The sequence below is a fragment of the Homo sapiens genome, chromosome 1, assembly GCF_000001405.40.
Source record: "Homo sapiens chromosome 1, GRCh38.p14 Primary Assembly".
NCBI lineage: Eukaryota > Metazoa > Chordata > Mammalia > Primates > Hominidae > Homo > Homo sapiens.
This window is the reverse complement of record NC_000001.11, coordinates 83,058,979-83,084,353: the sequence shown is the minus strand read 5'-3', so window position 1 is coordinate 83,084,353 and position 25,375 is coordinate 83,058,979. Positions and strand designations below refer to the sequence as shown.

General features: G+C 36.5%; 1 long non-coding RNA gene across 1 annotated transcript in view; it reads right to left on the bottom strand.

Annotated features, from left to right (window-relative positions):
- Nucleotides 1-25,375, bottom strand: part of LINC01362 (long intergenic non-protein coding RNA 1362) — a 263,633-nt gene that overhangs the window by 82,462 nt on the left and 155,796 nt on the right. The window contains exon 6 of the long non-coding RNA NR_147074.1: nucleotides 8,130-8,213. This is a non-coding gene — a long non-coding RNA (long intergenic non-protein coding RNA 1362). The remainder of the gene's footprint in view (nucleotides 1-8,129; nucleotides 8,214-25,375) is intronic.

Sequence of the window (25,375 nt, the reverse complement as noted above, 5' to 3'; positions counted from 1 at the left end):
TCTCTAGTTCTCACCCTAAACCACTGAGGTGGATCCTCACACATTAATGTGGTGGGATTTTCATCTTTCTCTTTGTAAACAGTCAATAGATGATAGAAAGTAAGCTTGTGTTGGTGTAGGTAATAGAGGTATTATGTGTTTTGTTGTTATTCTTTTTATCTCAGTTTTCCATTTCTATTTTGGAAAGTGAATACAAGAGGCTGTAATTTGCTAACAAGCAGAAGTGCAAACTGCTCTTGGGGGAAAAAAAAAATACAACCACAGCCTCCACCTGTTCTTTTTACTTCGAGGCAATGCTATGTAATCCTATTTATCCTGGTATCACATATCAAGGCTAAAGGGGCAAGGAAGGAAGGCCCAAACTTAAATCGAGTCACCTTAAATCAATAAATGGCCTTATGTTCTTTAAAATGATAATGAAAATCAAGTTATTGATTTCCAAAAGCAGCCTCAACAAATTTAATATTAATTTTAAATTTAATATTAATTTAATATTAATTTAAGTATTTAAAATTTTTAAATAATTAAATTAATTTAATTATTTAAATTAAATTAATTTAAATATTTAAATAAAAATATTTTAAATAATTTAAATTAAATTTAAATAATTTAAATTTTTAAAAATTATTTAAAAATTTAATATTAATTAAATATTAAAATAAAATAGTAATATTTATTAATATTAAAAACAAAATAGCAACAATACTGACATAAGTATTTAAAGAACTTATTCTTTCCTACTGACACATCTGAACAGTTCATCATATGGGATTTTTTGCTTTTATTGGCCTCATCTGTATCTCCTTCAGTTATTTTACTATGACCCCCATGTGAGAATGCTTTCATATCATCTTTCTCACCCAGTTAAGTGACAAATGTCACCATGAAGGTAAAACTCTAGATTTTCTATTAAGATCTGCACAGTAAGTATTTTTGAACTAAAGATCATTATATCATATGCATAACATTTTCACGAACAGGCCACCAGAGGATCTTTTTTTTCTTTTCTTTTCATAATGTGTAAAACGCATAACTTTAAAATTTCCAATTTCTATAATTTGGGTCTGGATGGATAATTATGTCACTAACAAACACCATGCTTGCAAATAACATGTAGAATTGCACTTAATAAAATCCTTGAAAAGCTGTGCCAATAGGTGGACCATGTATAATGTAAAAGACCAAGCACTAATAAAGACCATGCCTTATAAAGAATGCAGTGTGGATTTGCCTGATACACATAGAAACAGGTCTGCACTTTCAAAGTGACACCTTGTGCCAAAACTCATAATATGAGACGTTTGGCTCAATGCCATTATAGGAGATTCTACTGTTGTTTTTCTGCAACGGCCTTAGTCCAGTCTCCTAATCTCCATGAAAAAATGATTGAAAAATGAAACCACTAAAAAAAAATTAGAATAACATGCCTAATCAAGTCATTAGTTTTTTGTTGTTGTTGTTGTTTTTGGTTGTTTTATGTTTTCATATGATCACCTGTCTTTTTCTTCTTTCAGAGAAGCTCCTTTCCATTACGTGTTTAGGTGAGAAAAAATAGCCTGACTTTCATTAAGCTCTAATTTAATGATTCTATTTTCCTAAGTCTGTTCCAGTCCAAATGTGATTTCATGGCCATATCAATGGTAGGAGAAATAGAAGTTTATGAAATGCTACATTCTTGGGAAATGGTAGGTGGCCGGGATAATTGTTATCATTGCAAAAGGAAATTTAAATGGAATTGGGAACTAAAAAGTAATTGGTCTAGAATTTATGACATAAGTTGAAATTAGACTATTCTAAAACAGATTGGTCTTAAATTATAGAGATAAAATTTTGGTTGCAATAAGAGATTAGGAGATGATAAAGTATTTCCAATAGTGTCTAGCAAGGAGTGTAACACCTGTTATTGATCAAATGAACAAATGAATTCATAAGAATTGCAGCATTCTATCATTTTGAATTGGATTTTAAAAAGCCAGTTAGATATCCTAGAAAACCAAGTGTTGATTAAGAACTTATATTCCAATTATGCTGGCTAATCAAAATAAATTACAATTTGATAGAAACCTCTTTGTTGTATTGCATGCTACTTTTGGCAATTGTTGACATACTGGACCACATGCTACTCTCAATGTTCTCTTTTTGGAATTATGGAATCCATAATTCCTTGGTTTTCTTGAATTTTTACTTTACTGACCATCCTCAATGCTTTTGACAAGGATTTCTGTCTCTATTCTGTCATTAAATGGAAGAACCATCTAAGAAAATTCTGAATTTGTATCTTGAGCCTGTATCTGTCTTCTAAGTTTGAGTTTTGTAGCACCAAAAGCTTAATTTTCTTACTGACTTTATGTCTCATTGGCTAACAGATATTAAGCTTCACATATTTAGGAGGACAATAAAAATTAATCCCTAGTCTTTTCCATCTCAGAAAGTGGGGCCATCATACATCTAATTCTTCCAACTAAAAACCTAAGAGATATGCTTAATTTCTATCTCTTCTTCACCTCCCAGCTCTATATAATCCATCAACAATTGCTGTTACTTGTAGATCTATAAAATGTCTTAAATCCTTTCATTTTCTTCATGTTTACCTTCAGTCCTAAATCATCATCTTGCTGCTGAGTTACTGCAAAAGCCTCTCTATATTCATATGTTCACTCTTTTCTACTTCTATTCCATTCTCTTCACAGCAACTAGAGTGGTTATAATGATTGCTACCTTGCTTGAGGTAGTTACATCGTTTTCCATTGAACTCAGGAAAAAAATCAACCTAACTCTTGGACCTGTAAGGTCTTACACATGCTACCTCCTGCCTACCTCTCCAGCTCTGTCTCATGTCACTATCAGCCTTTTTCTGCAGGGTACAGCCACACTGGCCTCCTTTCATGTCATACATTCCAGCATATTTCCTTTTACAGAGTCTCTAATTTGTTTTTCTCTGTCTGCAATGTTTTTTCCCCTACTCTTGCTCTAGGCCTGGCTGGCCACTTCTCACACTTCAGGTCCCAAATGATACCCGTGACTTCTCTGACCATTCTTTCTATAGTAGAACCTTGGCTCTCAACCATCACAATAACACTCTGTCACATTCACTGTTGATTTGCTTGACAGTATGTATCAAAATCTCTAAGTATCTCCTCTCTTTCTTCCTTTCTTTCTCTTTTTCTTATTTAAATGTAAGCTGCATGAAGGTAAAAAGCTTACCTGTCTTGTCTGCTGCCTTATGCCCCACATATTGCAAATGCTTAATAAGTAATTGTGTCATAAATAAATGAGGCTGTGAAAGAGCACTTCTCAGTAGTAGTCATTTAAATGTAACACTCAAATAACAATACACTTTTTCCTAATGTGTCAAAAGGTAGCAGAACCAATAGCTTTCTTTGTCCTATTGCACCATGTCTAAGATTCTTATATTGTGTGAAATTACAAAGGACTTGCTATGGTTTGAATTTGTGTCTTCAAAATTCTTGTTGAAAGTCAATCCTCATTGTGGTGGTATTAAGAGGTCTAACCTTTGGGGAAGTGATTGAGAGCCCCCACGAAATCATTAGTGTCCTTATAAATGAGAATTCAGAGAAAGTCTGTCCCCTCTCTCTTGCCCTTCCATCTTCCACCATGTAAGGACACAGCGTTTGTCTCCACTGCAGGACACAGTCACAAGGCACCATCTTGGAAAGAGGGAATGGGACCCTCACCAGATACAAATGCCAGTGCCCTGATCTTGGACTTCCCAGCCTCCAGAACTGTGAGAAATAAATTTCTGATCTCTATAAATTACCTAGCTGGTGATATTCTGTTACAGCAGCACGAACTAAGACGGGTCTTTCTTCTCTTTAAGATAAACGGTGATGGTAATGGTTAGGAATGATTACCTTAGCCATGGCATTTGTGTTCATTAAATATGGAAATACTTAAATATAAAGCTGCTGATATTCCCCTAATTATTGGGTTTAGGTTGACTATACCTTGAAGACAAACTACATAATAACAAATTATAGTATTAGAATTATTGTTATTCATGATTTGTTGAATTCAAGTTGTGAGGTTAGCTCTGTAGAGAACAACTGAGAATACAGAACTTTGTTTCAAAAAGCTATAGATGATTCAAAGATTGCATTTCTCCTTTTCCTACATCTCCATTTTCTTTCATTTCCTTTCCTTTCCTTCACCCTTGTAAGGGTATGATATTTTGAGCATCCTCAGTACTCTCTCCAGCAGATGTTAGCATGCATATGCTAATTCAACACACTTCCTTCCTACTCATTCCTAAATTCATAATATCTTCAGTGTTTTCTAAACAAAAACACTCCAACTATCCAGATCACAAATACTGATATATACTTGGCAAAAATTTAGCTGCAGAGAGACTGCACTTTTTTCTCTGAAAAGTTTTCAATTTCCTCTGAAATTGTTGAAGTTTTGATCTTCAGTTTTATAAGAGTTTTCATCCTCAGTGTGTGGGTTTCTGAAAAGGAAAGGATTTCTATCTGATAAAAAACAAAATAATGTGTGCTTTTACATAATTATTTAAAACTATTCCTAAATGTGGAGAATAGTTTATGTGATAAATACTCAGGCCAGTAAATAAAACAATATGCAGCTGTGGCCTAAAAAAATCGTCCTTGAAACATTTCTTCCCGTAATTACCCATTTCTTTCAGAAGGCATTTCACTTTCCATGTCCTGGATTTATGTATTTCTTTATTCATTTTTTATTAATTTAACATTTATCAAACACCAATTTTGTACAATAAATTATGATACACAAATTGAAAAACACAAAGGTTATTAAGGTGCAAGAATTCTCATTAAGGAGCTTACAGTTTAAGTTAATAGGCCATGGACATGTGTATGAGTCTGCTTGGGCTGCCATAACAAAATACCATATGCTGGGTAGTTTAAACAACAAAATTCATTTTCTCACAGTGTGGAGGCTGGAAAATCCAAGTTAATGATTCTGGTAGGATTCAGTTTCTGGTGAGGGCTCTCTCCTTGGCTAGCAGACAGCTGCCTTCTTACCATGTTCTCATATAGCAGAGAGAGAGAGAGAGATCGAGAGAGAGAGAGATCTTTCCCGTCTTATAAAACCACAGTCCTACCAGATAATCTCATTTCTCATTTAATCTAAATTATCTCCTAAAGACCCTATCTCCAGATACAGTCACACTGGGGGCTAGGGCTTCAACACATGAATTGGGGAAATAGATCGAGACACAATTCAATCTATACAACATACTCAGCTGTAATTCAAAGTAAAAGCAATGAGGGCCATTAAGAAATACAGTAATAAAAGTATTTCAATTGAATTTTAAAGAATGAATATGATTTTATGCATATTTCACATTGGGTGACAGAAAAAAACAGCATGAATAAAGCCAAAGGTAGAAAAGCATGAGAAACTGTGTTCAAAATACCTAGAATAGTTAGCCCAGAAATAAAATGCAAGAAAGAGAGTAATAAGAATAAGATTACAATGAACCGTGTATTGAGGCCAATTTAAGAAAGACCATGAATGCCAGGGTAGCATACATACTTTATTCAACAGGAAATGAAGAACCATTGATAATGTTTAGGTAAGGGAAATGCTTGATTATATGTGCTTTCATAAGATAAAGATGGCACACAGGTTGGATCATAGGGAAGTAATTTAGAGAAAAAGAAGTCAAACAAATCACATGTTATAACAGACTACCCAAATGGTAATTAGGGGGTCCAATGGTTAAATGAACAAAAGAGAAAAGATAGGAGAAATATTATAGAGGTAGAATGAGTAAGACTTGGAAATAAATTAGACATAGAAGTGGAAGAAATAGTGGTTCTGAACTTTGGTGCATATGAGCATGTGTTCCTGTGAACTATATTAGACCAGTGAAAGGAGAAGCAAGTATGAGAGTAAGGTTATTCAAGGCACACTATGAATGTAAATATATCCAATTGACAGATGGTAATATTGGACTTAACTGTAGTGGTGATGGTGGGAATAGAGGATTAGAAAAAGAATTCTAATTCCTCTGAGCTCATTGTATTTCCAGGAAATGCCCTCTAGTAATTTAACTTCTACAGAGCTTCTTAATGTTTAAAGGGTTAGTACAAGTAATTTGAACCAATTGCTCATCCATCAGTATTTTTTTCTTTACTCAATAGCAAACAGTTTATTATACAATAATAAAAAGAAGAAATTCTTGAGGTGTGTGCTACTATTATCGCCATTTTGCAATTGAGGAAATTGAGGCCTAGAGTAATTAAGTAACTTGCCCATGATCACAGTGTGTGAAAGGCAGATCTGGGCTTTCTAATCAAAATCTTTATCCTACAGTTGCATCTCACCATAAACCTTGAATCTCTGCCAACCAATGATTTCAGGAGTCATTCATGACCTGAAGTTAGTCTAATAGTTCTAATCCTAGTGGATGCACAGAGTGTGGGTCATTTGGCTTTCATGTGTCTATTGAGCTTTGTCACCAATAACCCTATGTTTAGTTTACTAAGTGATGATTGATTTACGCTGCTGCCCTTGAGGCTCTGCTCTATTCTTTTGGTTGGAGCCTCACCTATTCTGGCATATATTTTTCCCCCTTTCTCAACAAATTAGTCCCTGATCTGCATAACACTACCCAATAGCTTGGGCTTTCCTTCAACCCAGTTTAATGGTGTTAGAAGCACTGTTCTATTACTCATCTCACTTTGCTTAGAGATCCTCTACCCAACTCCTCAGAAATAATCCTATTAAAAACAGCTGACTAAAATAGAGCTGAGTTGCTACCTCTCCCTGGAGGCCAGACCTTAACACTGGCTGGCTTTATTCCCGCTCCTTCATCATTTCTCTAAGCCTGCTGATGAGTATTAGTTCCTCTTGTATTATACTGGGCATGGCATAATAAAATTAAGGTTGATATAATCAGGAAGGTGTTTAACGGTCTTATCTAAGAAATGCCATGATGAGCATATTACTACCCAATAGAAGTAATCTTTTTCCACTCAGATGCCAAACAATAATTACATTTTGCTTTAAAGAAGCATTCTCATTAGAGATTTCCCATTGCTAGAGCACAGGATGCAATAGAGAGACAGATGACTGACAGATGCACAGAATAGTGTGAGAAGATAATGTAGCTTAGCAGAAGAACAAGGGACTTTGAAACTTGTTTTGGGACACTAGGCAAGCAAATTTTCTTGTCAGTTTACTTAAATTTAAAGTGAAAATAGCAACTATTTTGTATGGATTTTGAGAGGCCTAAATGAGATAATTTTTATAAAATACCAAATATTTTCTACTTCCTGAGACTTGGTGGGTCAAAATAAATGACAGTCATTATCATCATTGTTATCATCATCACTTTTATTATTAAGCAGAGCTTCACTTCATGACAAGAGAAGCTATTTCTTAGTGACAAGAACTAGCATCTGGTAATTTTAAGACCATTTGAAAAGAAAACTACCTTCAATATAGATGATAATCATTAAATTTAAAGTTCACTTTGAGCAATTCTAAATGGAAAGATGCAGAATTTTCTGCAAAGAAAAAAAGTTATATATTGGAATAGAAACTTATGGAAAAAAATAGTACACAACATCATGAAGAATATCCATAGAACCTGAACAATGAAAGACTGGAAGAGACCCAAGCTGTAGTAACAAACAACAAGCTAACCAAACAAAAAAACATCAAAACTGTTGAGTGAGGAAAATAAAAAATTAATATCTGAACCTCGCTACATCATATTCTAGTTTATATGATTATGTTTTAGATACCTTGATCATTTAGCTATATGCACTTTTCATTCTCTAGTGTGTATTGTTTTCTTTATTGTCACAATTGTACATTGTCACATGGACAGGACAGACCTTATTTACTCATTGTAGCCAAGATTTTCTAGCCCTGACTGAAGAAACTATTGACTGTACTCTTGTAGAGTGGGGATATTATTAACTGTTTAACCAAGGGAGCCCTTCAAAAAAGCCCCTTATGTAGTATTTAGAACATTGAGTCATCTAGTTGCTGCTTTAAAAAACAGGGATGAAATCTGTTGCACCTTGTAGAAAGTCTATCAGTAAGTAAAGGGTAGGTTAGGCTGCAGTAACAATCCCAAAATTGTATTGGCTTACAACAAAAGTAGGTTAATTTCTTACCCACGTGACTTGTCAGTTGAGAAGAAAAGGCAGCTCTTCTCCATGTCTATTCACTCCAGGATTCTGGCTACTATTGCTTGTCATCTTAACAGGAAAAGGAAAAAATTTTTGGTTAACCATGCATTGGTTCTTACATCTTCTCAGGTTCTAACCTTTCACTGGGCAAAGTAAGTTTTGTGGCCTAGCCTGACATAAATGGAAATGAAATGTATAATATTCCCAGGGAGGGATAGCAAACTTTATTTTGTTAGCAATAATACAATCTATCACAGGAAATCTCATTACCTTTTGTCCCACAGGAGTGCACATTTTAAAATTATTTTTCCTAGTTATAGTATCCTTCTTTCTCATATTTCCCCCCACCCCCATAAACATGTAACATTTTAATATTTTTAGGATATATTGTTGCCAACTACAATCCAAATAAAACATTATTTTTTATGTTAAATGATGTTATTTGTATCATTGTTACTTTACTATCTACTATCTAGGAATCCTAGAAGGAGTTGAAAAATGAGCTCTAATTAACACTAGATTTTCCATGCATCACAAAGCATGTGCGTACCCCTTATGGGTCAAATTTTCATCTATGTAAAAACTTGATAATTTTACCACATATCCCTAGAGGGACCACTGTCACAATTCAGAAGAAGGCAGTGATGGTTTCCAGAAAGTGAAGAGCATTTCTGAGTCTTATTTTTAGTAAAGCTACTTAATAAAAAAACACACAATTTAACAATGGCATTTTAGGTTAAAGTATCAAATGAGGCTTACTTTTATGCACTTAAAAAGTTTCTATTTATGTGAATCTGGATAACCAGACACTTTGATTAAGTCAACTCAATTAGGTCTAAGTCCCTGATATGTCTCCTGGGTCTTATGTAGAAACCTCTCATTCTATGCCAGACATCAGAGGCAACATCAGAAAAAAACAGAAGTGAAATATTCTGTGACCACTGTAACACTGAAGAGTAATGCTAAAAGACACTGCCTTCTAACTCTTCCAGGTTAGCAATATATATTTGTTTCTCAGGTAAGAGTTTCTCTTGGTAAGAGTTTTTTGTATGAGAGAAAAGACAATATTGGAGCAAGGAATGAACCGTTCATGAGCTCATACAGTAAACTCCTCCTATTTCTCTTCTTATTAATGCCAAATAACTGAATCTTGCTCATCCACATAAAAGAGTCTAAAATCAATGGAAGGTGAATACGGGACAATAGCAACCATAGCAATATAGTGCATTACAGATGTCATACACACACATACACACACACACTCACACACAGCTCTGATAAGAAAGATGGTATAGCGTAGTGGTCTACAAACTTTCCCTGTATGTCAAATCTGGTCCAACTCCAGCTTTCGTGTGGCTATCAAGCTAAGAATGGTTTTTATATTTTTTAAAAGTTGAAAAAAGTCAAAAGAAAAAAATATTTTATAAAATATGAGAATTACATAAAATTCAAATTTCAGTGTCTATAAATAAAAGCTTTATTGCCACAGACACACTTTTCTTGTTCATGCATTGTCTATGGCTGCTTTGACAGAGATCACAGGCACATGGTCCACAAAGATTTACAGAAAAAGGATGCTGACCTCTGACTTACACCAATTCAGAAAATTGCTAAGAAAATGCTTGATAATCACAGGCATAAACCCCATAACATAAAGATTTTTGGTAAATGAATGTTGTCTTCACTGTGTGCGTTCACGTGTATGTGTGTGTAATTTAGACAGTGTATTTAATACGGACCAGTAAGATTTTTTTACCTGGCTTGGCACATCCCTAGTAAAGACTCATTAGACAGCATTTGTGATCCAAATGTTGTCTTCCTTGCCTGTAGAATCTGAAAACTTTATAGATTTTCTTTGATTGAATTGCTATAATTTTTGGCCTGAAATTGACTCCCAGACTAAGGTTGATCCTCAGGCTTTAAGATTATTTAATTGACAATGAGGTTTTCTGATTTCACTTTTCAGATCCTATTTCACTTATTGAATATAATGACCTTGAAGTGTTTCCTTCTAGTTTTCCCAAAAAGCTCATAATTTTAATATCCTACTACTTTAAGAATTAATTTGAGAAGACAGTCCTCATTTCAAACATTTGGCAATAAGTATGTTTTCTAATATTTCACTTTAAAAATATAATGCTATGTAATCATTTTCAGACAGTTTTCCTTTCACTTACATTTGAAAAAACATTTGAAAATACATTTCAACAATCTGGTACTTTCATTTTTAAAAATTCAACTAATTGATTAATTGTGCCCTCTACTACTAAATGAGAAATGTTACTGAAGTTCATGATTAGATTAGAAGCTTTGGAAATGGAATTATGTAAATGCTTGCTTTTTTTTTCTATAGAAGACAGACTCCTTACTCTTCCAAAAAATTATCAAAATTTATTGTATAAATTCTTCCATTACTTTCAAAAATTCACCAATTTTAGTTATATCCATCACACTGAAGTTCCTATATGGCACTGCTGTTGTTGTTTTCCAGATAGTTTCTTCATTTGTTTACTAGTGTCTTTCTATTATGAACATCAAATTTCATAGCTTGGTGAAGAAGTTTCATGAGTTCCTTTTTGAATATGGTATAATAAAATATAAGGTCCTATGAATCTAAAAAATATTAGTATAATATAAAAAGGGAGCAATAAAATTGGCTAATCAAGTACATCATTATTTACCAGTTTTGTCCTCCCCCCGCCTTGATAGCAGGCCTTTGTTATGGAGAAATCTCTAGGTATATTTCATGATGAGTAGTCTTCTTTTGCTGCTACAGGTAGAAGGGTATTTTCTTGAATCTGCACTGTGAGAATCTGGGGTTAAGGAAGAAGGGGCTGGTTTTCCAGTGGTAAAATCTACAAAAGCGTGCTCTGCCAACACTGTGGCCTCCAATAGTTTCTCATTCTGAAGCTAGTTCACACTCAGACTCCAGCAAATTGTCAAAATTGCCATATATACCAATTTATGGCACCAGAGACTTCCACTTCAGGTTGACAAATCTTGGCTCTTACTGTCTGGATTCATACGTCTCCAGATTTAGGGTATTTTGCTTTGCAACCTCAAGTTTCTACGAGTTCAAGACAAGTTGTTGATTTTCAGTTTGATCATCTTTTTTTGTTGTTGTTGCTGTAAGCACAAGAGTGAGAACTTCCACACTCTTTACAGATCAGAGATGAAAATGAAAGTATCTCTCTTCCATTTTGGGGAAGGGAGTCAGGGGATAGATCTTTCTTTCTTAAAGCTCAAATGTTGCCTATTGAAAGTGGTCTTTCTAGCTAAAATACATGCCCTCCAAGATTTCTCTATATCACATTATTTGTATTGTTCTAATTAATGGGAGCACTCTGATCCCTAAGCTGATCCCTAAGCTATTGGGATCAAAATCATGAGTAGCATTTGGATCACAAAAGCCTAGAAAAGTCACTACCCAGAATTGGAATGTACATGATTGAAAAACAAATATTTATTGTGTAAAGCCACCATCACGCTTTAAAGAAGAAAATTTCTCTCTATGGTTAAGAGTATATGAACTACGCTTCTTGGTTAGAAGTACCAACCAGTTTTGGAGAGAATAGACTGCAATCAAATTCAAATGTATTATTGTTCTATGCTTTTTTACTTAAATAGTTGCCAATAATATAATAAGTTTTTACAAAATAAAGAAAACTGGGAAATGATTGACTTTTGTTTGAGGGATAATAGGAGAAAAACTAGACCTTATGGAAATTTGATCAACCTGAATTGCATATGATGGTCCTAGATTTGAGAAGCAGAGAAAAGAGAAGATAAGACAGCTTGTCTGAATATGGTTGAGCACTACCAATATCCTGCAGAGTCCATGTCTCTCTGCTCTCCATAGTTCTAACATAAGGTAAATTCAAGGCTTTTAAAATGTAGAAATGTGTTTGCTGGTAGGATGAATAATCAAAGATTAGCTGTACACCCCAGAAAACTATTCCTTCTCCCATGATTATGGAGGTAATCAAAGATTAATATTCCCTTCACAGAAAATGGAGATGGAAAGAACATGTTGGCATAAATCTTGTGTATAAACCAACAGGAGTTCAACAGACTTAAAAAGCAATTCAAAATAAAATACTTCTCAACTCTTGATTTACATTATATAGGCAGCCTAACTATAAACTTGACAGTTCTCTTATTATAAATGAACTCTCCTATGGTTCATTGAAACATTTTCCTACTTCTAAGCCTAAACCTCTTCATAAAAATAAATTAACATTTTGGTTTGCAATACTGTATTGTAGATCCTTTGCTTTAGAAGCAATATAATATCTTTCATTATCCCTCAAACACTATAGACTACTAAATTTGTGTTTATTATACTTCATTTAATCATTAGTATAAGCTGCAGCAGCCAAGAACCTCTATTTGGATTATTGGCAATTACCTGAAACACTGTAGATAGGATAACAGAAATAAGGCTTTCCGTTTATGACCCTTTTCAAATCAAAGTACCAGTGCTCATAGTCTGAATCTTGCCACTTCGAAAGACAACATAGAAAATTAGAGTAAAATTATCAGTGTGCTGTGTTTTTTGTCTTGCCACTTCGAAAGACAACATAGAAAATTAGAGTAAAATTATCAGTGTGCTGTGTTTTTTCACCACTTCTTTTGGGAAAAGTATTGATGACTAATATGGCACCATTGTTAGCAGCATGAATTTCAGAGTTAAATAGAACTTGAGTTGAATCTGTAAGTTTGCTTCTTCCTAACTGATCTTGCACAAACCTTAACCTCTCTAAGCCTTTGTTCTCTTCTCCATAAAATAGAAATAGTATTATTTACCTCACAGAAATATCTGTAGTACTGCAAATGATAATGTTATTAATGTGTTAGCATTGAGTCTAGATTATAGTAAGCATTCAAAATATGTTAACATTATTTTCATAATATTATTTTAGCCAGGAGCCCTAAAATTTGTAAATTTTATTATACTCCAGGGAAATTAACATAGAAAAAAATTTGATTATTGCAATTATTCAGGAAAAGTTACCTTATAGATTGATTCATTCAATTTTAGTCTCTGACATTCCATCATACTTTGTGTGCGTGTATGTACTTATGTTTGTCGTGCATGTACTTAGGTTTGTTGTGCATGTATGTGTGTTTTGGAATACCTTTTTTCGGGGGTGAAGATTATCAATACAAATTGCACATCTGATTATCTTATCATCTGGTATTTTTTTTTATTCATCCAGAAATAAAATACCAATTTCTTGTTCTGGCACTTAGGACTCCCTCTATTCTGAGCTTCATACTCCATAGTAGGAGGGTTAGTGCAGAAAGTTTGGTACATTTCCTATTGCTGCATTTCATCCCAAGGCAATAATAAGGGCTCATTATTTCCTTCTTCTACTAATATTTTGGATACCCTCACTCTCAAACTACACTTTTACTGCTCTAGGTTGCTTTCTCCATAAGTTTTGAAGTAATTAACTTGCTGCCAAAGAACTGGTTGGTGTCTTTAAGAAATGGTACCCTTAAAGGTACTATTAAAGACTCAGTGATGGTCTCTGATACTCATCAGGCTTAGTGAAAGGAAGTGTAAGCAGTTGGGTTCACAGATAGCCTCCTTCCACTGTATTTATTCTGTTCATGGGCCCATTGTACAAGCACCAACATGGCTAATGACAGAAGCTGGCTTACACGTACTGATTGAATCATTCTCTCCAGTTGGTTGTCCAGCAGGTCTTCTGTAGTAAGCACTCTAGTGAGCATTGATGTAAGACACAAAGATCTATAGGCATAGTGCCTGTTCCTAGAGGTCCACATGTCTAAGTCTACTATTCTCTTCCTCAACACTCAGTCAATATAATTCTGGTATTTTACCCCACTTATTATAGGCGATCTGTGCCTCTAAACTTCAAAGAGCCACTCCATGTCCCTGTGAGGATATTAAATCATAAATCACAGAAGATTGCCCTATTTTTAATAAATCTTCCCTGTCTTGCCTTATATTTCAAATGCTTCTCAGTGCAACACTCTAGGATCACCGTCATAAGATAACATAAATGTTATCTTATTAAGTGCCATTAAATATTATAAATGCTTCAGCTTCTTTTGGTGAATAATTCATACCAGTTAGGCCAGGATAAGGCTTGATGCTAGTGATCCAGAATTACTAGGGGGAGGCAAGTAATTCTTCACAGAGCTTGAAGAGGATAAACATCCTCTGTCACACATTGACCTTAGATGAGACTTTGGAGTGGTTTCCAAGCAAGGAGGTCAATGCTCTCCTCTTGCAATCTTGAGAGAGGTAGGCAGTCAGCTTGGACTTCTAGAACAAAAGTGTCATAGACTAGGTGGCTTAAACAACAAACATTTATTTATCACAGCTCTGGAAAGTGGTAAGTCCAAGATTAAGGCTCTGGAAGATCTAGTGTCTAGTGATGTCACTCTTTCTGGTTTGCAGGCTCTTCTCATTTTATCATTGCATGGCAGAGAGCAGAAAGGTAGAGAAAGCTGTCCCATCTCTTCTTCTAAGGACACTAATCACATTCATGAGGGCTCTACCTCATGACCTAATTATCTCCCAAAGGCCCTACCTCAACATGCCTTTACAGTGGGGATTTGGACTTCACACATGAATCTGGTGAGGACACAAACATTCAATACATAACATAGGGATTGAAAGTTCTATAGCATATCTACATATTAAATGTCTCAGCTGAGGTCCCAGTGTCTCACTTCTCTACTATGGCCCTGACTTTGGCATAGATTTTCTGGAGCTGTGAATTTAGATTTGTTAGTAATTCCACCTTTCTTATAATCAAATGGTGGGCCTAATTTTTAGCACATGTTATACTTCATCTGCAGTAGAGGGTCTCAACCGCTGCCATGAAAGCTTTCTGCCTTTACAGCCCTGAGTAGATAGTTGTTTGACCTAAGCTGTCATTCTTTTTCTGCAAGGCTTTTATGTCAGTTATAAAAAGTCAATCTGTTGTACAATTTTTATATTTATTCTCATACTTTTTAAGTTAGGGAGAATTGACTGTTAAGCTTTACAATGCATCAGAATCATCTGAAGGGCTTTTTAAAACACAGATTTCTGGACCTCAACCCCTGAGTCTCTGATTCAGCAAGTCTGGGATGGTGTTTGAGAACTGGCATTTCTACCAAGTTCTCACATGATGGTAGTGCTGGTGGTTCAGACACCACACTTTGGGAACCAGTGTGATAGAGCTATTAAAAGTCAGAGCTTTCTCTTCCCTGTCCCTCATCCCAATTCACCAGGGATGAGAATCTATATGATTATGATACCACATCACACATGGCCGATAATATTCCATTTGTCACCAGAAACGGGACCCTTGTTTCCATGCGATCAGCAGGCAACCCAATTCCAGATTATCATCCAGAGAGTCTTTTCTAATGCCTCTACTAAAACCACAGTTTTAATTTGGATTCCCCTAAAAGCAGACCCTAAGACAGAGATCCGAATGCAAGTAATTTATTTGGGAGATGTATAAATCTGGGTCCAGTTAAGACATAGGAACTACCCAGAAATTTGAACGTGGAAGATGTATTAGTCCGTTCTTGCACTGCTATAAAGAAATGCTGGAGACAGGGTGATTTATAAAGAAAAGAGGTTTAGGCCTGATGCAGTGGCTCACTCCTATAATCCCAGCACTTTGGGAGGCTGAAGTGGGTGGATCACTTGGGCCCAGGAGTTTGAGGCCAGCCTGGGCAATACGGTGAAATCCTGTTTTTACAAAAAATATTTAAAAATTAGCCGGGCGTGTTGGTCCATGCCTGCAGTCCCAACTACTCGGAAAGCTGAGGTGGGAGGATCACCTGTGCCCAGGGAGATGGAGGCTGCAGTGAGCTGTAATCACACCGTTGTACTCCAGTCTGGGCAACAGAGTGAGACCCTTCTTCAAAAAAAGAAAGAAAAGAAAGGGAAAGAACGAACGAATGAACGAATGAACAAATGAAAGAGAGAGAAGGAGAGAAGAAGAAAGGAAGGAAGGAAGGAAAGAAAGAAAGAAAGAAAGAGAGAGAGAGAAAGAAAGGAAGGGAGGGAAAGGAAAGGAAAGAGAGAAAGGAAGGAAGGAGGAAGGAAAGAAAGAAGAAAGAAAGAAAGAAAGGAAGAAAGGAAGAAGGAGAAAGAAAGAAAGGGAAAGAGAGAAAGAAGTTTGGCAGGCTGTACAGCTTCTCCTTCTGGGGAAGCCTCAGGAAGCTTCTAATCATGGCAGAAGGCAAAGAGAGGGTGTGGCACTTCAAATGGCCAGAGTAGGGGGAAGGTGCTACAAATCTTTAAACAACCAGATCTCACAAGAACTCTATCACAAGAATAGCACCAAAGGGATGGTACTAGACCATTCATGAGAAACCGCCCGCACGATCTAATCACCTCCCACCAGGCCCTACCTCCAACCTTGGGGATTACTGTCCATCATGAAATTTGGGCAGTGACACAGATCCAAACCATATCAGAAGATTTCATATTAAGAAATATTAACTATGAGATTGGAGTAAGAGATAAGCTAGTAAGGAGTAAAGAGATACTTGCTCTTTACCCACTTCTTTATATGATTTCTCTGGTCCAAATCAGTGTATTCAGACTCAATCCTATTACTCTGATGCTTCTTTTATCTCCTAATCCCTATAGCACTCATTGACTTTCAGCTAGTACATAATTCCTTACATCATTGCTTTGTTTAATCAGTTATAAGTCAATGTTCATAACTATCTTTAGACAAAGAACATAGGAATAGAAGATATAAGGAGGAGGAACTATCTCTAAGGCTGAGATAGAGTGCCATGGAAGGTCCTCTAGTAGAGGGCCACTGCTCCTGCATCACACACACACACACACACACACACACACACACACACACACACACACACACACCTCTCACCAGGGCTAAGGTCCAGACCTTGCTGAATAGGATGCAGCTCTGGCTCAATGAGTTCATTGAGGTTGTGTAGGTGTCCAAGGAGAACCAAGGGAGGTCATCCCCATGGAGGGGTGCCAATATCACTTTACTGTGAAGTTGTTACAGGGGCTGACATGGAAATCATTCATGGAAGGTGCTGTGCTGGAGGCACCATGCCTCAAAAGCACCTAAAGAGTGTGCAAGGAGAAGCTGCTCATGGAGAGGTGGCTGCCAGGTATGTGCAAGCTTCATGTGCTGCTGTAGCTTGCCTAGAGGGGCATGCTGAAATCAGGAGGAGAAAAATCATGGCCTCATCAGAGTATCTCTCTCTCATTTGCCTCTCTCTGTCTCTCTCTCTCTCTCTCCACCACCCTCTACTGAGAAAGCTTAACATTGTGCCAGCTAGTGGAGGGAGAATTTTACAGGGTCCAGCTTCATTATCATAGAGCAGGAAATAAAGGGTAGATTTGGAGTTGAGAGGCAGCAATGAATTAATAACTGGCATAGGAAGCAAAATGTGGGAGTGAAGAAGTTAGACATGGAAAGGAGAAAATTCATAAAACCTCCTTTTACAAGCAGATTACTCTTTGGGGAAACTGGAATCCATGTCCACTGGCTATCATCTAATAGAATTTCCAGGACACAACTCAGTCACCTCATAAAAGGAAAGAAAGCTGAAGTTCTTACAAATTTCCTTTTCTCATACATAACTCGAGGACCACTCCTAGGGTTGCTCCTTGGCTTGCGCTCCTGGCATGCCCAGGCAAGCCAAGCTCAGACCCCTGGCTTGAGAATGGCCTCAGGCAGAGAGACTCAGGAAGCAATAAGCTCACAGGGACACTGTGTGAAGTCACTACTCAGACAGGCCAAGGGGATATGGGTGGCACAGCATCTTCAGCATTCACTGCACCATCATAAAATCCTAAAAAAAACAACCAGAATCTAATTCACTCAAAACTAAAAGCAAGTAGAAAACAAAAGAAGTGTATACCCAAAATTCATGTTAAATAAAACTGTCTAGGCATTTCAAATGGTCTGTATAAATTCCACAACTTTTGTGCAAACTCTAAAACTCTTCAATAATGATAATGGTTGTTAACAGTTACTGAATGTTTACCATGTTCCTGGCACTGGGCCAAATAACCATAAGTAAGAAAAAGTGAGACACTATTATTGTTATCACTTTACAGCTCAGGAAACCTTGGTTTAGAAGTTTAAGTAAGTTGTCCAAGTCTCCAAAGACAATTGCCAATGTTGTTATTTAACTCTAGTCCTTAGAGTTCTAATCCCACACTTTTAATCAGTAGGTCTGACAGCATTTGTGTTTGCTTTGTACATTGTACTCACTCAGGAAATGTTAACCAATGGTGACGGTCTTCAAAATGAGAACTCCAGAATTTAATCATCTGAGAAATATTAAGTGAGATTATCAGATACTGTAAAAACTGCCAGATTTGTCTTTTCAAGTCTCTTCAAATTCAAACCATTCTGTATACTGTCAGCTTTTTAATATTTCCAAATACTTGCTTTATTATGTCATCTTTTGATCCAAATTAATGTATTCTGACTCAATCTTATTAATCTATTCCAATTGAAAATATTTTTCATTTCCTAATCTTTAAAGGACTCATTTATTTCCAGCTGGTTATATATTTCCTTATGTTGTTGTTATGCTTTCATAAGTTAATATCTCTTTTAATCTATGAGATAATAAACTCTGGAAGTCAGGAATTATCTATTATGAATCATCCATATCCACTATAGTGCCTACCATTGTTGAACCTAGATTAATTCAGTAAGAACTATTCAAATAGGCATTATTAAATGTAGGAATAGGAAGAACAAAATACAGACTTTTTGGTCTTAAGGAGAAAATTAACAAGAGAATCCCATTATCCCAATTCAGAGTGTTCCAGTTAATAAGGTTCTACTGTACTTTGCTCCTTCTCTCTTCTAAGTAATTAAAGCCCTCCCAAGCAGATTAAATAAGCAGAGATAGGGTTTTCCTTAATTTTATTTTCTCTTTTAAATTCAGCCAGCATTAAATGGGGGAAATGTTCCAATCTCCTAGTCAGAATTAATTTCTTCCTCCTCCAAAACAACTCTTGTAAGCTTTAAGTTTTTAACTACTGAATAGGCAGCACAGAGCATAGGTTACCTTCTATAAGAATTGTACACGTACTTACTCTTGTTACTCATTAGACTGTGAGGTCCTGGAGTTCAGGAATCCTGTGATTTTAATTTTGAATCCACAAGCTCACCCAGCAGAGGGATTTGTACATAGTAGGCATATTTGTACATAACACTATTTGTACATAGTGTATCATCTATGTGATACCTCTAGCTTGATTGACTGATATCATGATATATACCTAAAGGATAATAGTCACATATGGCAAGCAAAGCTTTGTTTTCACATACTTTCCTACTCTTGTCTTCTCACCAGTGTATAATATCAGTATAAAATTTCTATTCTATAAATGAAAGAATCAAGTCTCATAGAAAGTGAAAGTGAAAGTAACATTTTTTTAAAGCTCCAACTCCAGGTCTCCTACCGGATACTTTACATATCCATTCCATTTTATATCAGTTGGCTAGGAAACTAATGCTTAATTACTGTCTTAGGAATATTATATTTCAGGGTGGTTAATGAACTTCACAGGTGAGACACTGCAGAGAGAGTTGGCGCTCAGATGTTCTTGGCTTCTAGAACCGCACTTATCCCATGGTTGCATAATGCCTTGTCTAAGATACAAAGAAATAAAATCAAGATTCCTGACCTAAGGAAGTTTACACTCTTATTTATGAACTGATGTGGAGTGAGGAAAATGCAGTTTATGTGATTGTTGTCTTCCTATAAAATGCTTTTAGAGTGAAGGTCTTAGGTTTCAGTGAGCATAGTGATTACCCAAATAACTTAACTAAAAAGAAAGATTCCTAAGTTATGCCCTTAGGGTTTCTATCACCCCAGGTGATAACAGTGCAGGTCACCTCTTGAGGATCTTGTGAAAAGGCTCTTTCGAAAAGAGTTGAGGTGACCAGAATTAAATTCTGAACTGAATGCACAGCCCAAACAAAAAGTCTGAAAGGGGAAATCACCTCCCATCTCCCCAGACTCAAATAAAAAACAGAAGGAACAGAGCTCTCAGAAAAAGCGCACCAAAGCAATGAACAAATAAACAAAAACAATAAAGACTAAAAACACACTTATTTCTTGCACAAAGTCAGATTCTTCTTTACCAAATCAGAAGAGGCCCCACTTTGCAGCTCTTAGCAGGAGAGTGCACACCATGAGAACAGCTGAGAACAGCGTGTGTGGAAGAACTTGTAAGCACGCAGTGAGCATCTCTTCAGATCATCACTGAGACACCAGTCTTAATTAAAGGAAAACAGAAGGAAGGCAGGGAGGGAGGTAGAAAGGTAGAGAAAGAGGGAGGCCTGAAGGAAGGGAGAGAGGGCAGAGAAGAAAATTAGATGATGAAAGTGTAAAAACTACAGTAACACACAAAACACAAGAATAGATTTAGAGAAAAGGGGACAAAATCTATGTTATAATCTGGAGAGCCAGAGAGGGCAATTCTACCGCATGCTTTATGAAACTGACTTCTCCACTTCTCCCCAGGCTGGACTGTACAGAGGAAATTCATTAGCTCCATTTAAATGCACATCCCAGAGCCCATCTTCAGTTTCCAGTAGAGCACAACACATTTCACGTTGGATAAATCACTCTGACTCTAGAGAATGACTTTTTTAACTTAAATCAACCTTCATGAAATGGTTTGTATTCTTATGAGGAAAGTTATTATACTAAATAATTCATAGTAGGGAATTTTGTTGTGATGAGATCAACAAGGCCCTAATGCTCTAAGCCATTGACGTGGGCTTAGAAATAATCTTATTGTTGAAAACTTTTTCCCCATATTAGTTCTTGTTAAAATGGAATTTAACTATACAAATACATTTATAAACATTTACAGGTCACCAATATATACCAGTAAGTCTCATAGTCAAAACTTTAGAATCTTTTTTTTTTTTTCTAGAGACAGGCTGGGGTGCAGTGGTGCAATCATAGTTCACTGCAGCCTCAAACTCCTGGGGTTAAGCAGTCCTCCTGCCTCAGCCTCCCAAAGTGCTGAGATTATAGGGGTAGAATCATTTTTTAACTGTTTATGCGTTATTGTCACATCCAATAAATGGCCAAGTTCTTTCCTCTACTGGATTTTCTCTTACTCCTCTTGGATCTTCCAACAGAGTCCATTTCGGACTGCTAGTCCCTGACTGTGCCTTAAATGTTTTTGATCCTTTCTCTGAAATCTTCTTCTCTTACCACAGAATTCGAGGGCTAAATTGTCCACTCTCATGACTTTAATTACCATTTATTTCCTTATAACTTTCAATTATATTTCTAGACCACACCACTCTCATAAGATTCATTTGTATGTTATCCAGCTGCCTTCTGTTACCTTACATGGATGTTAACACAAACTAATATGCAAAAGTGGACTTTTCATGCCATTCCCAAGGCACTTCCTTATCTCCCCCTATAATCATTAACTCAGAGAACAGTACCACATTCATCTAGTTGGTGAGGCTGGATGTACCTCATTCCCACATCCCTCATTTAAATTACCATCATCAGAAGCATTTTACTAAAATGGGGGAGAAATGTCTCCTCCACTCTGGGACCCACAAGGCCAGAGAGGAGATAGCAACAGAACTGCCTGACTTAGATGGAGTGCCTACCTACCTTCATATCCCATCAGCATCAAAGATGGGAGTGTGTTACAAAGGAAGGACTCCTGTATGAAGGACAGGAGCAACCTATTCCTGAATTATTATGAGAAATCCCTCGGGAACTCTCAGAGAAGCTATAGAAACACTTTGCGTAGAGCCATACCTAGCAAGTAAGACTGTAGGGGCTTTTGCTCTTCACTTACACTGAAAGTATCATATATAAACTATTTCAATGAAATGGACATCTTTCTGAAGTAAAAAACTGGATAAATGAATGTCACCATTATAATCAACCAGGACATATGCTTATTATACCAAGGCTGTGGAAAATAGGAAAATGGCATAAATGAAAGTAAGTACAATTTATGTACCTTTCAAAATTGCACATAATTTGATTTTAAAGAGAGTCCATGCTATATTTGAGAAGTGTGAATATAAGCTGGAGAATTATTCTAATGCTTGAATTTTTATCACAGTGATATATGGAGATGGGTTTAAAGAAACAAAGTTGGATAAATTAGGATGTTTGTCAATGCAGAGTTTGTTCCAGAAATGAGTGAAGGCATTGCCTATTTAGCATTCTGAAAGTACAGAATGGACTGAATCCAGGAAATGAAGAGCTACTGTGAAGCTAACAGAAAGGAGGAGAAATTGTGGCAGGCACTTAGCCTCCATGAACAAATCAAATACTTAGAAATCAAGTACAGGCTTAGAAGCCCTGGGAAATGGGGAGCTCAAGATCCAGTCAATAAGCCGGCTTCCTTATTAGTTGGCTAAGGCACAGAATGGAGTCCTCCCCACCATGCATCCTCTCCCATATTACCAGAGTCCTAGAGGAGAATCCAGAATACTCAAGTGCACTGAAGAGTGCTGCAGAAGAAAGAGTTGCTTTTACCAGGTATTCAGAGGTGGTGCTACCTGTTACTGTTTATGAATCAAGAAAGGTTTTAACACTTTAAAAAGAAACATTAGCCATTATTTTTTACACTATAGATCTGTTGGTTGAGAAGTCTTTGTAAATCGATCTATATTGGCTACAACTGGAAGCACAGGACACCACAGGACACCATAATGACTGGCACACCATACTTCAGCAGACATGCTTCAGATGGAAGATAATTTCCTTAAGGCAGGCAAAATTTGCAAGCTATGTGGAAATATGCATTAGTGGTCATGTGTGTGTGTGCTTCTAGTAGAGAATGTGAATTATTTCCCTGAATCCATTCAAAACAGTTGAAATCACCATTGATGTTAGAGTCAGAGGATGAATGATCCCACTTATTTTCAAAATGTTGCCTGTCCAAGACGGAATTTTCACTCGTTCTCCAAAAGGGGTCACAGGAATTCAACCTCCTGTTTTTGCAACAAGAATTCATCTCACAGCCAAAATTTGCAAAATAATGAGGCAACCTTATTACGTTACTTTCTTTTTCTTCTAATTCTGGTTCCATAAAGGATGTCCGCAATCATCACTCTCAGGTCTTTGTGACTTTCTTTATTGTAAAGACTTTTCTTCTGTCTGACAAACTAACACAATATAACAGATAGGGGAATGTGCTCTATTCAAAGAGTTTTTTCTTTTTCTTTTTTCCATTACTTAATCACCAGCTATCCAACATTCTGATATATCCAATATACTTTTTGTCTTTACATCTGTAGATTTTTCAGACTAGAAAACCACTTCTACAATTTTAGCCCTGGAGACCAGAGAGCTGGCAGTGTTGCAGATGACAGCATTTCTTGGCTGTTACATCCACATCTGACTTCTGCATTTCTCCTTTTCCTGGGCTTATTGGAAACCTTGAAGCCATAGTCACAACAAAATAAATGCTGGTTCTTAGCCCTCCCTCCCGCTCTCTTGGTGCTTTGCCTGAAAATAATATATTTGTTTCTATTTCTTCTTCTTATACCTTTTCCTTTTCCTTTGTACTTTTGTGATTACCTGGAGAATTACTTCTCCCAATTCCAGTATAGCGGCTGCTGCTATAAAAGCCCACTGAATTTTATTCCTGTGACAACGAATCGTATGCTGTCATAAAGATACCCTCAGCATCCCTCAGCATCCTTAGGCACAGGAGAAAGGAATGCACCTGGGAACACGTAGTTGCAAATAGCTTAACTGTTGCTAAACATCAGAGGTCCCAGATCCAACCAGTGGCCAGCTCAGGCCCTGGCATCTAGCCAAGGAATTCTGGGAGACCTGGAGGGGAATGAAAGCTATTAAAGACTGCAGCCAAGGTATTTTTGCAGTAAAATGAGAATAGTGGTGTCTAGTCAGTATTAACTTTAAATTTCAAGGTTTATTTACTTTCACAAAGCTTTTTCAAAGTCCACTCATTACATACCAATTTAACAATTGGTAACACTATTATTCCTATAGGTCACCTGTAAATTAATGGGCTTATATAATTAACACAAAAACAAACTAAATTACTTGTATAAAATTTCCAAACCCACTATTTCGCTTTGTTAATAAGGGATTTGATATAACTTATCATAGCATTTATTAAAATGCCAATATGGTCTACTAAATCCCATGTTAAAAGTCTTCACCATCACGGCTGATAATCAGCCTCAATCTGGGTATCAGCAGGCTCAACAACAGCCTCGCATCCCAAGATTGAATGTTCACTGTGTCAGGAGATTAAGAACCATGCTCAGAATCAAGCTGCAACTAGATCAGCCTTCACTCAGCGTTCCAACTCTGGCAAAGAACTCTATCTGTTCCCCATCCCCAGTCTATCTCGCGTGCCCTGTTTTCATAACTGAGCTCCATCATTTTTTGCCTTCTGGTAAGTGATCTAGTAATCATTTCTTCTTCTTGATCAGTATTGTAGACATTTGTTTTTTCACATCTAAAATCTCATAAGCTTCTGGAATCTGCCATCATGTAACTCTTGACAGAAAGTTGGTTCCTGGAGGGAAACCAAGGAGAAAAAAAGGTATTTTTCTATTTAAAAATGTTTAATTTCTATTTTAAAAAGTCTAAATACATTTTAATTAAAAATTATTTTAATATTTATGTTTTTTAAAAAATTAAAAAGCAGCTAAAGGAAACTCACAAATGACCTAAGCTTGTGCCATTTGACTCCTCCTGCCAGGGCATTTGGAGTAAATGTCCATAAATGCAGGAACAATTCAGAATTCCTGTGGGCAGCAGTAGTACAGCATCCTCTGTAGAGTGTCAGTGGCAGCAATAATCCAGCTTCCTTTTTCCTGTCCATCTTCTGAGCATGGTGCTCAAGATTTAATTGATTTTAGTTGACTGTAACCAAGAAACCAGCTAGAACTTTCTTAGTTTTCATAAGTCTGCAGACCTGACCCTGAAACCCAGCAAGCAAGCCCAGCCTTCCTGCCAGCAGCTGCTGTAATCAACTAAATTTCTGAGTGTCATGTAACCCAGTCTTTCCAAACAAGCAACTATTTGAATGTGGGATCCCATCAACCACCTATTTTATTCACCTTCAATACAACTAGAGTTTGATTGAACCCATGCACCCTGCAACTCAGGTCAGCTCTTCCAGGACTGATCCTGCTAAAGTGAGTAAATCTTATGGTCAGAGTCTGGCTTCTCTCAGCCTGTTCCCAGCCTGTGAA